This window comes from Homo sapiens, chromosome 3, assembly GCF_000001405.40.
Source record: "Homo sapiens chromosome 3, GRCh38.p14 Primary Assembly".
In the NCBI taxonomy this organism is placed as follows: domain Eukaryota; kingdom Metazoa; phylum Chordata; class Mammalia; order Primates; family Hominidae; genus Homo; species Homo sapiens.
Genome location: NC_000003.12, coordinates 195,907,700 through 195,923,249, shown reverse-complemented (window position 1 = coordinate 195,923,249; position 15,550 = coordinate 195,907,700). Strand labels below are relative to the sequence as shown.

The 15,550-nt window shown below is 52.7% G+C and overlaps 1 protein-coding gene and 2 long non-coding RNA genes across 25 annotated transcripts in view, besides 6 other annotated features; 2 read left to right on the top strand and 1 right to left on the bottom strand.

Annotated features, from left to right (window-relative positions):
* The window catches only part of LOC124906253 (keratinocyte proline-rich protein-like), a 41,447-nt gene extending 31,277 nt beyond the window's left edge, over window positions 1–10,170 (top strand). For both annotated transcript variants that reach the window (NR_197445.1, NR_197446.1), the window contains one exon: window positions 9,480–10,170. This is a non-coding gene — a long non-coding RNA (keratinocyte proline-rich protein-like). The remainder of the gene's footprint in view (window positions 1–9,479) is intronic.
* Window positions 7,844–8,456: an enhancer, noted in NCBI's record as "H3K27ac-H3K4me1 hESC enhancer chr3:195641665-195642277 (GRCh37/hg19 assembly coordinates)". NCBI's record gives its function as "activates a minimal SCP1, AML or CMV promoter by ChIP-STARR-seq in naive H9 embryonic stem cells {active_cell/tissue: H9 hESC(naive)}" and the evidence as "EXISTENCE:reporter gene assay evidence [ECO:0000049][PMID:30033119]".
* Window positions 8,193–8,242: a silencer, noted in NCBI's record as "silent region_15046". NCBI's record gives its function as "represses an Ori minimal core promoter by ATAC-STARR-seq in GM12878 lymphoblastoid cells {active_cell/tissue: GM12878}" and the evidence as "EXISTENCE:reporter gene assay evidence [ECO:0000049][PMID:35858748]".
* Window positions 9,986–15,174, bottom strand: TNK2-AS1 (TNK2 antisense RNA 1). Its single transcript, NR_145450.1, has 2 exons — window positions 14,472–15,174; window positions 9,986–13,385 (listed from the first exon to the last, which is right to left on the bottom strand). It is a non-coding gene; the product is annotated as a TNK2 antisense RNA 1 (long non-coding RNA).
* Window positions 13,116–13,165: an enhancer, noted in NCBI's record as "active region_21063". NCBI's record gives its function as "activates an Ori minimal core promoter by ATAC-STARR-seq in GM12878 lymphoblastoid cells {active_cell/tissue: GM12878}" and the evidence as "EXISTENCE:reporter gene assay evidence [ECO:0000049][PMID:35858748]".
* Window positions 13,296–13,945: a silencer, noted in NCBI's record as "silent region_15045". NCBI's record gives its function as "represses an Ori minimal core promoter by ATAC-STARR-seq in GM12878 lymphoblastoid cells {active_cell/tissue: GM12878}" and the evidence as "EXISTENCE:reporter gene assay evidence [ECO:0000049][PMID:35858748]".
* Window positions 13,996–14,185: a silencer, noted in NCBI's record as "silent region_15044". NCBI's record gives its function as "represses an Ori minimal core promoter by ATAC-STARR-seq in GM12878 lymphoblastoid cells {active_cell/tissue: GM12878}" and the evidence as "EXISTENCE:reporter gene assay evidence [ECO:0000049][PMID:35858748]".
* Window positions 14,236–14,485: a silencer, noted in NCBI's record as "silent region_15043". NCBI's record gives its function as "represses an Ori minimal core promoter by ATAC-STARR-seq in GM12878 lymphoblastoid cells {active_cell/tissue: GM12878}" and the evidence as "EXISTENCE:reporter gene assay evidence [ECO:0000049][PMID:35858748]".
* TNK2 (tyrosine kinase non receptor 2) overlaps window positions 14,699–15,550 on the top strand; it is a 45,188-nt gene continuing 44,336 nt past the window's right edge. For 16 of the 22 annotated variants that reach the window (NR_170692.1, NR_170690.1, NR_170681.1 and 13 more), the window contains exon 1: window positions 14,699–14,765. Coding sequence is in view for 4 of the 22 variants with exons in the window: in XM_047447150.1 (XP_047303106.1) it covers window positions 15,333–15,548 (216 nt within the window). In the remaining 18 variants the exon portion in view is untranslated. Of the gene's footprint in view, window positions 14,766–14,871; window positions 15,549–15,550 lie in introns of those variants that run through there. The other 6 variants (XM_047447162.1, XM_047447156.1, XM_024453292.2 and 3 more) reach the window with 3 other exon arrangements.

Genomic DNA, 15,550 nt, shown 5'->3' with positions numbered 1-15,550 from the left:
CGTGGTCTCACTATGTCTCCCAGGCTAACTAGTCTCAAACTTCTGAACTCAAGCAATCCTCCGCCTTGGCCTCCCGAAGTGTTAGGATTACAGGCATGAACCACTACACCCAGCCAGTTTCTTCTTTTATAAAATAAACAATTTAAGCTTCCTAGAAACAGCTCCTATAGGCCAGGCATGGTGGCTCACACCTGTAATCCCAGCACTTTGGGAGGCTGAGGCAAGTGGATCACTTGAGGCTGGGAGTTCGAGACCAACCTGGCCAACATGGTGAAACTCCGTCTCTACTAAAAAAAAATACAAAAATTAGCCGGGTGTGGTGATGCGCCTGTAGTCTCAGCTACTCAGGAGGCTGAGGGAGGGGAATTGCTTGAACTTGGGGAGGTTGCAGCGAGCCAAGGTCGCACCAGTGCACTCCAGCCTGGGCGACAGAGCGAGACTCCATCTCAAAACTTTTTTTAAAAAAGCAGCAGCTACCATATCTGACTTGCTCACTCCTGGATTTCCAGCCAGCCCAATACTGAGCGCATAGAAGAAAGTCAATATGTATTGAATGAGAAGTATCTACTTCAAAAAACTGTTTCAAGGATTAATTGAAATAATGCAGGTAAAAAGCATTATTATAATGCCTGATATATATAACATTTTCAAATTATAACTATTATTTTTACTTGCTCTTTTTTACCTTTTTTTCAACAGCTTTATTGAGATATGCTTTATGTATCATGAAGTTTATCTCTTTTTTTATTATTATACTTTAAGTATTAGGGTACACGTGCACAACGTGCAGGTTTGTTACATATGTATACATGTGCCATGTTGGTGTGCTGCACCCATTAACTCGTCATTTAGCATTAGGTTTTTACTTGCTATTCCTCCAATGCCTAGGATTGTCCTGTATCTTTGATTTTATGTACCTTCCTACACCTGGAAGGAAGGAAATTGACAGTTATTCATCATTTTATACTATGGCCACTACTAGGACTGCCTACTTTTACCCTACTGCATTAAGAAAAAAATTAAAGTATATTTTACATACAACAAAATGAACAGTTTTTTTTTTTTTAAAGTTCTGGGATACATGTGCAGAACACGCAGGTTTTGTTACACAGGCAAACATGTGCCATGGCGGTTTGCTGCACCCATCCGCCCGTCTCCTAGGTGTTAAGCCCTGCATGCCTTAGCTATTTGTCCCGATGCTCTCCCCCGCTTCGCCCCCTCGCCCCGCAACAGATCTTAAATGTAAACTTTATGAATTTTGAAAAATGTAAGAGTAACTGTCACTCCAATCAAGGTATTAGAGCTTTATCGCAGTAGTTTCTGTTCTGTATTTTTCTGTTGGGTTCTTGAATTCCTTGATCAGAGCCGTGTTCCTGGGTGACGGAAGTGCTCCTCTGTTATGTGTGGCAAGTGCTTCTGGGTGTGGATGCGGCGTTTTGCATACACTTTGTAGAAGGAAGGATTTGTTAAGTGTCTGGGCACATAATTAATATGCAGAATGCTTCCAGTAAGGTGGAGGGCTGAAAGGCGAGCTCCCTTCCAACTCGGGAAATTGACCGGGATGAGGAGGTGGGTGGCGCCCGGCAGGGGAGCAGCATCAGAACCAATCACAGGAGCAGGTCCAACTTGATGCTGGAAGCTTTCCAGAGTGGCCTTCAAGGAAAGGAACAGAAAATTCTGGAGACCAATGCAGTGTAGCAAAGAGGTTGTGCCGTTACGCCCATGAAAGGCAAAATGATGAGTCATCAAAACGCTGAGCGTTCCTATTGGAGAAGGGCAACCTTTTCTGCCTTCTAGGAAACTAACGAGAAACAGGAATAGGGAACAATAGAGCTGAATGTCAGAAATGCTGTCTGTCAGTGCACGCGGGAGGCTTAGAGGCCCGAGGGTATCACCCCATGGGTGTGGATTCCTACCACCCCATCTCTTACCGGGTGGCATAAACTCTGGGAAAAACCCTGCACCAGTGAGGACCAGGCCCAAGGATGGCATCAGACTCTCAGTGCCAATTTAATGGCCTCAGGCTGCAGGAAAAGTGTCTATAAAACAGGAAGCACAGCCGCCTTTAATAGCTCTGAAGGAAAAACACCAATCTCGGTCTCAAAGAAGCTGAGAATCTTGCCAGGTGCGGTGGTGCACGCCTGTAATCCCAGCTACTTGGGAGGCTGAGGAGGAGGGTGGCTTGAGCCCAGGAGCTCTGGGCAGCTGTGCCCTACTTTGATTGGGTGTCTGCACTAAGTTCGGCATCAATATGGTGACCTCTCAGGATGGGGAGACCACCAGGTTGCCTAAAGTGGGTGAAGTGGCCCAGGTCAGAAATGGAGCAGGGCAAAACTCACTGTAGTGGGATCGCATCTGTGAATAGCCACTGCACTCCAGACTGGGCAACATAGTGAGACTCCGTTTCCAAAAAAATCATCATAATAAATTTAATCAATGTAAGAAAAAGAAGGTAAGAATCTCCCACAAACTCATAAACGCTGATGGTGACAGTGAAAACTGATATACGCATTTTGGAAAAAGAGTTTGGCGTTGCAGACGGTATCTGAAAGTGCACATTATGCCTGCAGCCTAGTTAAACTGGAAGAGAGGTCCATCCGTGTTCTCACAAGGGGACGTGTATACAAGATGTTCATCACAGAAGTGTTTGTAACAGCAAAAAATTGGAAACACTCAAAATGTCCCTGAATGAGGATTGAGAAAAATTGTATATTCATGCAATCGTGTATCTCTGGAGGTTAAAATGAACTATGTTTCAGCAACGATAGATCTCAACATGCCAAATTAAAAATCCATTTGCATGATAGAACATGTAAAAAGAGTGTCATATATTCATAGTTATACATAACTGGTTTTTAAATGAGAAGGACTCAGTATGCAGGCAGAAAGCAGCATTATTTTTTATTTTTTGAGACAAGGTCTCACTCTGTCACCCAGGCTGGAGTGCAGTAGCACAATCTTGGCTCACTGCAACCTCCACCTCCTGGGCTCAAGCGATTCTCCTGCCTCAGCTTCCCGAGTAGCTGGGATTACAGGCATGCACCACCTCGCCTGGCTAACTTTTGTATTTTTGGTAGAAATGGGGTTTCAACATGTTGGCGAGGCTGGTCTCAAACTCCTGAGGTCAAGTGATCCATCCGTCTCGGCCTCCCAAAGTGCTGGGATTACAGGCGTGAGCCACCGCGGCTGACCACTGTTTCCTTAATGTTAATGCCAGTTATTTCAAGCTAAAAAGATTTGTTTTTCTAATTAATTTTGATTTTTATCAATAAAATACTTATGCATAGTTTTAAAAACTCAAATAGTCTTCAAGGTTTATAATAAAGGATAGCTCTGACTTTCCCCAGTCCTTAGAAGCCATGGTTTTCAACTCTTTTAGCAGTTTCTTTTGGCGTTTATCTCTTTATTTCTAAATAACTTAAAATGTTTCCAGTTTTAGATATTATCTGTTGATTTTCTGCAACAGGAAATGTGGCTTTAGCTCTTTTTTCTTTTTCTTTTTCTTTTTTTTTTGACGGAGTCTTGCTCTGTCACCCAGGCTGGAAAGCACTGGCGAAATCTCGGCTCACTACAACCTCCGCCTCCTGGGTTCAAGCAATTCTCCTGTCTTAGCCTCCTGAGTAGCTGGGGCTATAGGCACCTGCCACCATGCCTGGCTAATTTTTGTATTTTTAGTAGAGACCGTGTTTCACCATATTGGTCAGGCTGGTCTTGAACTTCCCACCTCAAGTGATCCACCCACCTCAGCCTCCCAAAGTGCTAGGATTACAGGTGTGAGCCACCGTGTCCAGCTGATCTTGTATATTTTTTAGGCCTTTATTCAATCACATTTTATTAACAGTTTGGCTGGATACATAATCCTACATCAAAAATAATTTTTGAAGTAATGGCTCTGTTTTAACTTTTTTTTTTTTGAGATGAAGTGTCGCTCTGTAACCCAGGCTGGAGTGCAGTGACACGATCTCGGCTCATTGCCACCTCCACCTCCCAGGTTCAAGCGATTCTCCTGCCTCAGCCTCCTGAGTAGCTGGGATTATAGGCACCTGCCACCACACCCAGCTAATTTTTGTATTTTTAGTAGAGACAGGGTTTCACCATGTTGGCCAGGCTGGTCTCAAACTCCTGAGCTCAAGTGATCCTCCTGTGTCGGCCTCCGATAGTCCTGGGATTACAGGAGTGAGCCACCGCGCCCGGCTTCTTTTATTTCTTGAGTAGGGGTCTTGCTTGTGTTGCCCAGGCCGGGGTGCAGTGGCAGCATCATAGCTCACTGTAACCTCAAACTCCTGGGCTCAAGCAATCTTCCCGCTTCAGCCTCCCGAGTAGCTGGGACTACAGGCGCGTGCCACCACACCCAGCTAATTTTTTCTTTTATTTTTGTAGAGATGGGGTGTCGACCAGACTGGTCTTCAACTCCTGGCCTCAAGCAATCCTCTTGCCTTGAAGCTTCCCAGAATGTTGAGATTACAGGCGTGAGCCACTGTGCCTGGCCAAAGTACTTTTTCATCACCTATAACCAGGCAAATCAAGACAGGGCCATATACAATCCCCATATGTAAATTCCCAAGATTCACTAACATACTTTTCTCGCGTCTGGGTTTGTTGCAGCGCAGCTTCAGCATGGTATTTATGTGTGTATTAGAGGGTTCAGGAGTCGGGTGAGAGAGAGAGTAGAGTAGAGTAGGCGCCCTGGATTTCTATCTTGGTCATGGAGATTCTAATCCAATTGCAGTCACTACCCTTCAATTGCTGCGTGTCCGTGGGTCACCCGCTCTACCCTTCAATTTCTGCGTGTCCGTGGGTCACCCGCTCTACCCTTCAGTTGCTGTGTGTCCGTGGGTCACCCGCTCTACTCTTCAGTTGCTGTGTGTTCGTGGGTCACCCGCTCTACTCTTCAGTTGCTGTGTGTCTGTGGGTCACCTGCTCTATCCTTTAATTGCTGTGAGTCCGTGGGTCACCTGCTCTGTCCTTTAATTGCTGTGAGTCCGTGGGTCACCCGCTCTACCCTTCAATTGCTGTAAGTCCATGGGTCACCTGCTCTATCCTTCAATTGCTGTTTGTGGGTCACTCACTCTACCTCTCAGAGCCTGTGTCCTCACTGCTAAGTGAGTGTTAGACTTGATGTTCTCTAAGGCCTTTTCAGCTGTAACATAAAATCCCTCTCCCATTGAGAATGTACATTCCCTCCTTCAAACTTCACACCCAGATTCAATTCTACCCTTCAAATTTTTATTTATTTATTTATTTAATTATTTATTTTTGAGATGGAGTCTCGCTCTGTTGCCCAGGCTGGAGTGCAATGGCGCAAACTCGGCTCACTGCAACCTCTGCCTCCAGGGTTCAAGTGATTCTCAAGCCTCAGCCTCCTGAGTAGCTGGGACTACAGGCGCCCGCCACCACATCCAGCTGATTTTTGTATTTTTAGTAGAGATGAGGTTTCACCATGTTGGCCAGGTGGGTCTCAAACTCCTGACCTCAGGTGATCTGCCCATCTCAGCCTCCCAAAGTGCTGGGATTACAGGCGTGAGCTACTACACCCGGTCTAAATTTATTCTTTTATAATCGTTTCCTCTGCATCCCAGTAACAAAGAAGTGCTGTTGGTGAGACCGTAGAAGCTGTACTCACCTCGTAGGTGCCCTGCGTTCCCCTGCGAGTGTTCCTCTGGGCCTAACCACCCGGTCACCTTCTTTGGGTCTGCTGATAGTGAGGTGTCTTGGATAACTACAGCAAATGTTCCAGGAACGTCCCTTTTTTCTATGGACAAGCCCGTCTCTGCAGAAGTTACAGATTGGCATCCTTGCTGAGGGTGACTTGTATCTGTGTCTTCACCTGCTTCCCTGATTTCTGACATACTGACTGCCTTGTCTTCTAGGCATGGAATTTCCTTGAGTTTTAACCCACAGACCTATCTTCGCTGTGGCTTTTTGTGTGTTTTGGCTTTTTGGCCCTTCTAGACCCAACTTCCAACTCTGCTACTGTGGTGAATCATCCCCTAAGGGCTGCTGTGATTTGTAGAACACTCACACCTGTGGGGCACTGAGCGATGCTGCGTGGAACCGGGGAGGAATGCTGAGTGGAACCGGGGAGCGATGCTGCGTGGAACTGGGGAGCAATGTGGAGTTCTTGAGTAAGGGAGAGACATGATGAAATCGATGTTTTAGGAAGATTAACAGGGAATTAACCAGGAGGTACAGGGACTGAAGTCGGCAAGGTCATCTACACAATGTTTGCTGTAATCATGCCATTCAAGGGTGTGAATAGCATCGCATTATCTTGTGTAATTCTTACAGTCTCCCGGTGAGGGTTCATGTCTTACGTGCAGAGGCTAATGGAAGGATCTGATCCCACTCACATGGAAGTCACCTCATGGTTAGGGGTCTGGCATCCCAAAGGTACTTGATCACTGTTTGAAAAATGAACGTGGGGAAGCTAGGACTTGGACACAGGTTCTTTCTATGTGGAATAAAGTGGTAGCTGAGAGGAAGTGAGTCGAGAGAGGAGGCAGAAGGGTGGAGCCCTGAGGTATCTGGGGCTGAAGTAGGTGTATTAGGTGCTGAAGGAGGAGATGGGTAAAGGGGGCTGCCAAGAACCTGAATCTGCTTTCTGGACAAATGAGAGAGCCAGGGGAGAAGGGAAGGAGAGCTGGAACTGAGAGTTTGGGTTCTGTTGCTACCTCCTAAGATGGAGCAAGTCTGGGTGTCCACTCAACATCAGTGCGCAGGCAGGCAGCCGCAGATGCAGGGAGCTTGGTACCTGGGGGCCTCGCTGGCTCAGCTGTGGGAGGGGAGTCGGGGAGTGGCAGTGGGTGGAAACGATCTTACCAAGCTGGAGAGGGTAGCCAAGAACGGAGCAGGTATGGGCTTGCCTGGGAGGCTCACTATTTTAGCAGAAGGAGGAAGAACAGTTAGCTAAAGACTGTGCAGTGTCTGCACTGCAAATTGGATTTGAGCAAAGGAGAGAGCAGAAGAAAGGTGCAAGAGTGACACAGTACCTCACCATTTAAAGACAAGCCTTGACTGCAACATTTCCCACACTTAGTATGGTGGGCTCCAGGGGAGGCCAGATTTCAGGGAGTTAAAGGAGTAGGTGAAGAATCAAAGGAGCCCGTCCTTCATATGATTGGTCTTGACTCCTCCACTGGAAGTTTGTTTATTTAATTTATTTATTTCTGAGACAACGCCTCTCTCTGTTGCCCAGGGCTGGAGTGCAGTGGTGTGATGGTACCCCCCACTGCAGCCTCGAACTGCTGGCCTCAAACAATCCTCCCACCTCAGCCTCCTGAGTAGCTGAGATGACAGGTGCACACCACCACGACTGACTAATTTTTAAATTTTTTGTAGGTAGGGAGTCTTGCCATGTTGCCCAAGCTGGTCTCTAGCTCCTGGCCTCAAGCAGCCTCCCACCTGGGCCTCCCAAAATACTGGGATTATAGGTGTAAACCACCATGCCTAGCCTCTTTTTTAAAAATTAATTTCTTTTTGGCCCGGCGCAGTGGCTCACGCCTGTAATCCCAGCACTTTGGGAGGCCGAGGCGGGAGGATCACTTGAGCTTAGGAATTCAAGACCAGCCTGGCCAACATGGTGGAACCCCGTCTCTACTAAAATACAAAAATTAGCCGGGCGTGGTGGCGCATGCCTGTAATCCCAGCTACTGGGGAGGCTGAGGCAGGAGAATCGCTTGAACCCAAGAGTCAGAGGTTGCAGTGAGCCGAGATCATGCCACTGCACTCCAGCGTGGGTGACAGAACGAGACACTGTCTCAAAAAAATTAATTTTTTTAGAGACAGGGTGTCCCTCTGTCACCCAGGCTGGAGTGCAGATCATAGCTCATTGCAGCCTTGAACTCCTACACTCAACTGATCCTGCTGCTTCTGCCTCCCAAGTGCTGGGATTCCAACTGTGAGCCACTGCGCCGCACTAGAAATTCCTTGATTCTGTGTATGGGGCCACATCTGGCATGACTGTGCCCGAACACCAACCAATCAGGAGTAACTGAACTCACTGGTCCATTTGTTGGTTACCAACCACAACTCTAGGTGTCCACCAGGGGGCACCAGAGCGCAGGGCTCCATGAGGCTCTGTTTCAGAAGAGCCCATGATGACCTCAGGGTTTGTCATCTCTCGGCTCATTTGGCTCTTGCTGTGATTGGGCAGAGGGGGCAGGTGTGTGGGAGCAGCTGGCAGTGCCTCCTCCCAACGGCCTAGTAAGGTTTTGAAAACTGAATTGCTCGGGGGCATGTGAGCACAGCCCCCTTGGCAGCTCCAGGGACCTCTGACTTGGGCAATAGGGTGAAGGCACAGTCTGTTCTCGGTCCTGGGAGGATGTGGCCGGGGTTAGCAGATACACACCATGCCTAAGAATTCCTTCAGAAATCCGTCTCTTCACCTCCGCCAGGAGGCAAGTGATCCCCTCCTGACTCAGAAATGGTGGCCCTTTGTCAAGTCAGATCGTCCTGATCCCAGCCCTCCCTTCCGTGGGCCTTAGCCCAGGCCTCCTTCTAGGCAGTGAGGGTGTGCTTGGGAACAGACTGGCTCCTCCTCCCCGCCAGAGTTTGCCTTCAGCCAAGCACCTCCCATGTCTGGTAGCTGGTTGGAATCACTTAAGGAGCTTTTAAAAACTAAGATGCTGGCTGGGAGCAGTGGCTCACACCTGTAATCCCAGCACTTTGGGAGGCCAGGGCGGGTGGATCACCTGAGGTCAGGAGATCAAGACCAGCCTGACCAACATGGTGAAACCCTGTCTCTATTCAAAATATAAAAATTAGCCGGGTGTGATGTGATGGTGCGTGCCTGTAATCCCAGCTACTCGGTAGGCTGAGACAGGAGAATTGCTTGAACCCGGGAGACAGAGGTTGCAGTGAGCCAAGATCGCACCACTGTACTCCAGCCTGGGTGACAGAGACAAACAAACAAAAAAACTAAGATGCTCAGGCTGGGCGCGGGGGCTCATGCCTGTAATCCCAGCACTTTGAGAAGGCTGAGGCAGGAGAATAGCTTGAGCCCAGGAGTTCGAGACCAGCCTGGGCAACATCTTGAGACCCTGTCTCTACCAAAAAACAAAAACAATACAATGAAGATGCCAACCCCCATCCAAGAGATTCCAATTTAAGTGTTCTAGGGTGGTGCTTGGGCATCAGCACTTTTTTTTTTTTTTTTGAGATGGAGTCTCGCTCTGTCATCCAGGCTGGAGTGCAATGGAGCGATCTTGGCTCACTGCAAGCTCCGCCTCCCAGGTTCAAGTGATTCTCTTGCCTTGGCCTCCCGAGTAGCTGGGATTACAGGTGCCTGCCACCACGCCCAGCTAATTTTTGTATTTTTAGTAGAGACGGGGTTTCACTGTGTTGGCCAGGCTGGTCTCGAACTCCTGACCTTGTGATCTGCCTGCCTCGGCCTCCCGAAGTGCTGGGATTACAAGCGTGAGCCACTGTGCCTGGCCTGGCATTGGCATTTTTAAAACTTTCTGTGTGATTCTTGTGTGCAGCTGTATCGAGACTGTCTGCATCGAAGGCCCTGATAGTCAGAGTGTGGTCCATGGGAAGCTTGATGGAAATGCTGGATCTCAGCGCCCTCCTCCCAGTTTGCTGAATCAGAATTTACAGTTCACCAAGATGCCCCGGTGATTCAGCCGCACACAGTTCCAGAAGCCCTGAGCTAGTTCGTACAGTGTTCTTTACCCACGCTCATCTCCCTGGCCTGAATCACAGCGTGTTTGACTTGCTCAAGTTGTAGCCATGGCTCTCCGTGTTTTGACTGTGACCTACAGAAAGAAACGGACTTTACAACGAGGAAGCAAGTACACCACAGAAACAATGCCTTCACTACCTGGGGTGCACTCTGCACTCCCATTCATTCAGCAGGTAGTTTTGGCACCTGCTTTGCGCCAGGCCTCATTCTAGCTGCCTGTGTCTAGAAGCCCCGGTTGTTGGGAGGTTTCTATTCTAGGAGGAGGGCAAGGGGATCAGAAAGTTAAAAGTAAACCATGTATATAAAGGGCACGCTAAAAGATATTTATTAAAATCTTTTTTTTTAAATTACATTTTTAGGGTAGGGTTCTGGGGTGCTGGTTATGTTCCATTTCTTGATCTGGGTGCTGGGTGTATTACCTGTAAGAATGCAAGCTTTCAGCACTTCTCTGGAGGTATGCTGTACGTCAATAAAAAGTTCAAAAATTACATTGTGATATTTTCTTTCTTTCTTTCTTTCTTTCTTTTTTTTTTTTTGAGAGAGACAGAGTCTTGCTCTGTCGCCCAGTCTGGAATGCAGTGGCGTGATCTCAGCTCCCTGCAACCTCCGCCTCCCAGGTTCAAGCGATTGTCCTGTCTCAGCCTCCCAAGTAGCTGAGATTACAGGCGTGCACCATCATGCCCGGCTAATTTTGTATTTTTAGTAGAGACGGGGTTTCGTCATGTTGGTCAGGCTGGTCTCGAACTCCTGACCTCAGGTGATCCACCTGCCTCGGCCTCCCAAACTGCTGGGATTACAGGTGTGAGCCACCGCACCCGGCCAAACATTCTCATATTTTCTATTCTATTATTATCCTCTTTCATAAAACAAAAAAATAGTCATTCAAAATCCACCATATTCAGTTTACCTCCCTCTAAAAGGTTGCAACAGTAGTTTTAAAAACTGCTTTATTTAAAAACAAGCTGTACGCAGTGGCTCAGGCCTATAATCCTGGCACTTTGGGAGGCCGAGATGAGTGGATTGCTTGAGGCCAGGAGTTCAAAACCAGCCTGGGTAACAGGACGAAACCCCGTCTCTACTAAAAATACAAAAAATTAGCTGGGCGTGGTGGCGGGTGCCTGTAATCCCAACTATTAGGGAGGCTGAGGCCGGAGAATCGCTTGAACCCGGGAGGCAGAGGTTGCGGTGAGCCGAGATTGCACCACTGCACTCCAGCCTGGGCAACAAGCACGAAACTCCATCTCAAAAAAATAAAAAAATAAAAACAAACAAACTAGAAGCCCAATCCCTCAGCAGCACCCACCCACTCTTGGCTTAGCAGCTGCCTGCAGGTGTGAGCCAGGCGGCCCATTCCCCAGCAATGGCCTTCCTTGCCCTCTTGCTTACCTCACAGTGCAAAACAGCTCATGAAGGAGACTCTTAAGGGCACCACCCAAAGCCTCCCTCTGGCAGCCTGGCCCACCTCCACTCCCAGCTAGACCCGACAAGCCCTTCTCCTTGCCGAGTCATTCTGCTGTGGGCAGCTCTCCTAAAGTTCCAGATGTAGGAGGAGACTGGCTCAGGCACGTTAATTAGAGGGTTGGGGTTATCCCTGTGGCCACCTCCCAAATCTCCTGAGACTTATGTTTTTAGTCTGGGGCTCCTTCCTCATGTCAGCTCCCTAGTGGCAGAGCAGTCTCCCTCGGTGTCTCTCTGGCCACCATGATCAGTGTCACGGACACATCCCAGCATAGCCCCAGTTCTCAACCGCATGGCAGGGACCGTCCAGGAGTTGGTGAGGAACAGGGTGGGAGGGAGGAAGGGAGCAGGAGACCTCACTCTTTCCTTTGAACCTAAAGCTCCAGATAATCCTACACTAGAGGTGCATATGGGGCATGGCTCTGGCTTCTTGAGGGAAACTGGAGAGATGGGGGGCTGGGGAAATGGGGGGCTGTGCTGCCCTAGGAGCAGGACCAACCAGCGTGGAGGCGCTTTGACCTCTAGCTTTGTTTGATTTGGAGCTTGATTTACTGGAGGGGAAGTTTGCTCTAAATCAGTTGTTTGCATCTATTGACCAATAAAATCTAGTTAGTCCTGATGCTTCCTGAAGCAGGGCCCCTGGATTTGGCGTTGCTTTTTTGTGCCTCAGATTTTTTTTTTTTTTGAGGCAAGGTCTGGCTCTATTGCCCAGGCAGGAGTGCAGTGGTGTGGTCTCTACTCAGTGCAACCTCCACCTCCCAGGCTCAAGCGATCCTCCCCCCTCGGCCTCCCGAGTAGCTGGGATTACAGGTGCGTGCCACCATGCTCTGCTAATTTTTCTATTTTTTTTGTAGAGACAGGGTTTTGCCGTGTTGCCCAGGCTGGTCCTGAACTTGGGAGCTCAAATGATTTGCCCTCCTCAGCCTCCAAAGTGCTGTGATTACAGGCATGAGTCACCACACTCGGTCTGTGCCTTAGACTTTAGAGTCGGAAAGCTGGATTTGAATCCTGGCTTCACTACTACCAGCTGTATGGCACTGAACAAGTCACTTGGCCATGTAGAACCTCAGTTCTGCCACGTGTAAAATGGGGATATTATGTGTCTCCTTGGGTTGTCATGGGGTTGGATGAGAAGAATGCGAAGTGCAGGGCCTTGCACAGTTGGGCTCTGTGAGTCTTAGCAATGGCCATGACTGAGGCAGCGTGAGGGAGACTGGGAGAAAACCTCCTCAGTTTCCTTCTCCCAAATCTGTTGTCTTCCCCACTTTCTTTCCTGAAGCCAGGCGACAGGGGGGTGGTCCTGGCCCAGCCTCCTGGCTCCCTGGGGAAGGGCTGCCATTACTGGCAGTGTTAGATAATTTAGTAGAAAGTTGCCCTGCCCACCTCGCAGGCAAGGGACCGCCACCCAAATCCACCCAGACTGGGCCTCGTGTAGGTTTCCAGAAGCCACCCCTTTCTCATTGCCCTACTGCGCTCTGGCCAAGTCCCTGGGGCCCATTGCTGGACAGTGTGAGCGCAGAAAGAGCCAGCCCTACACAGTTTCCGATGTGTCTGATCTTGCCACCTACCGTGAACTGTTTTGTTATTACATCCATTTTCTAGATGAGGGACAGTAACAAGGGCTGAGTGGCCCTGAGCCCTTGGGCTCCACGCGCCCGCTGCCCAGGGCTGCCTCCGTTTGGGCTGGGACATGGGTCTGTGGGCTGGGAACAGGGCCTGCAGGCTGCCCCGCCGCTGGGAATCCGAGCGCTGGGTTTTCTCCTTCTGGGGTGGGGGCAGGGAGGAGACGGCTCAAGTGCAGGAATGAAGGTCCGCTTGCCTGGGGCTGTTTCTGCCCAAGTCCTCATCAGGAATCGTCAGGCCTGAGACAAACCCTCCCTCCTTCAGGAGTGCTCCGTTGGCCCCGGGGAAAGAGAGGTGATGGTCCGGGTTTCTGGGCCTTTGGGGTGCCACGGTGAGATTGGGACTAGAACCCCAGCCTCACTGGAGTGACCCCAGAAACCTTCCAGTCCAACCTCCTCACTTCAACTGAGGTTGGAACAACTGAGACCGGGTGGAAGTGACTTTTACACTCGCACAGTGCAACGGTAGCTACTCGGAATGAGAGACCTGTTCCGGCGCTCCTCCATTGCGCCCCTCGACTCGGCGGGACTTCTTCACCCAGGGCGCCACCGCTCCTCGGCACCGCAGGAAGGCGCAGGCCGGGCCCGGGGGAGTCGGGGAGAGCGGGGTAGGGCCCCGGAGGCTGGGGGAGGAGCCGGGGGAGGAGCGATGAGGCCGGGCCCTTTAAGAGGGCGGGCCGACTCCCCCCCACCCCCCACCCCGGGGCGGCGCAGGCGCAGGCGCAGGCGGGCTCGGGGCGCTCGGCAGGAGGGACGGCGGGCGGGCGCTCACCTGCGGGGGCCGGCGCGGGGCGGGCGCCCGGCGGGCCGACGTTGACGCCCGGAGGCGAGGGCGGGGAGGCGGGCGCGGGACTCGGGGGCGGCCCGGGGCGGGAGGGGAGGGCCGGGGCGGGCGGGCGGTGTGAGCGGGCGCCGAGGGCAGCACCATCTGGAGGGGTGGGAGCGCGCGGCCTCTGGGGGGCAAGCGAGTGCGCTGGGCCGAGCCGGTCGGGGGCCCCCGGCGGGTCGCGCAGGAGGAGCGCGGCGGGCTGAGCCCTGCGCTGCCGGAGCAGCAGCCGCAGCGCGTAGGGGTTCTCAGCTGGGGCCCGCAGCAGCTCCGCGGGCTGAAGCTCGGCGTGGAGGAGCGGGGCGGGGTGGGCCCGGCGGTGCAGGAGGAGGGCGGGGTGGGCCCGGGGCTGCAGGAGCGCGGCGGCCGCGGCCACGAGCCCAGCCGGGGGGTGGTGTGGGGGCCGCCGGACGGCGCGGGCTGGGGGCGCCCGCCGTGGTGGACGGGCTCGGCGGGCTGGCCTGTGGCGCAGGAGGAGGGGCTGGGGCCCCGCGGGCAGCACCAGGAGAAGGGCGGAGGCAGCCCCGCAGTGCAGGAGCGCGGCGAGGCCCGGGCCGGGGTGCAGGAGCGCGGGGAGGGGAGCCCGCGGAGGCTGCTGCAGCAGCCCGAACCGGCGTCCGAGTCCGGGGAAGGCCCCCGCGAGCGCAGGGAGGGGCCGGAAAGTTCCGGCGAACTGGGGGAGCGGCAGTGGGAGAGCGTCGGGCGGGAGGCGGTGGTCCTGGGAGCGGCCCCGGCGCCCCGAAGCCGCCCCGAGCTGGTGGGGAGGGCCCGGCCGGTGGGGCCCCGGGGGCCTGCGGGGGAGGGGCGCCTGGGGGTGCAAGAGGCGAATTGGCTGCCCGGGGTGCAGGAGGGACAGGTGGTGCGGGCTGTCCAGGAAACCTACCTGAACGGGAAGGAGCCCCAGGAGGGAGAGGGACCCGGCGAGGGGCTCAGGACCCGGAGGCGCCGGCGGAGGAGGAGGTGGTGACTGGCAGGCCCGGGCCCCACGGTACCTCCGGGGCTGAAGGGGACGCAGGATGTAGGGGCATGGGGAGTCGGGCGCAGAAGAGTGCGGGGAACCGCTGAGCTCTGGGAGCCACTGCCTGAGGGCAGGCCGCGGCCGGCGGGAACCTCTTCTGCCGTCTCAGCCTGGGCGTCGCTGAAGCTGTGTCTGCGGGGAGGCAGCGGAAGGCGGCAGGTAAGGAAGCCCAGTCCTGTTAGCTGGAGTTGGTGTGCTTGGAAGTGAGAGGCTGCAGGTCCCTGGCGAGAGCGTAGACTCCACACTGCCCTCGTTCTTTTGGCCTTTCATCCCTGGAGGGAGGAAGCAGTGCAGTTTTCAGCGGCAAGGCAGGACCTCTCCCCCGCCAGTACTGTGTATGGTAATTGGAGTGATAGGGCATCTTCTTAGAGTCTAGGCAGCAGGCGGGACGTCTGGGTGGCTGCCAGGTCTGTGCAGAGGGAAGAGAGGGGTAGCCCCAGGGAGGAGCTGCAGGACGGTCCCCCCTCCACCTGCCCCCCGATGGCAGTAGGGGTGCCTCCATGCTATATGCTCTGCATGGTGCAGTCAACACACAAGTCCTCAAAACACGTCCCACAGAAGGGAAGAGGGCAGCGTGGGATTAACAGAACCTTATCTTGTAACCCTGTTGGTCACGTGAGCTGAGATGAGTGTGACAGCTAGTGGCTTGGGTACGGCACGAGCCTGGCCCGCTTCTGCCACGCCGTCCTGTCACAGCTGATTTACCCTGAGGGCCCAGAGCCAAGGATGATTAGTGGGCGGAAGGAGGGAGAGCAACTGGTGAGCCCTCTCGTCTCTGGGTGGGACGACCCAGCGTTAGAGGGGCGGGAGAGGAGGGTGCACTTGCACCCCAGGGCTCTGGGCTGCCTCTGTGGCCCCACCCTGGGGAGGTTTGCAGATGGGCCGCTGTGGTATCATGGGCTCTGCACCTGTCAGGACAGGAGCTCCCAGCCCAGTCTAGAGGT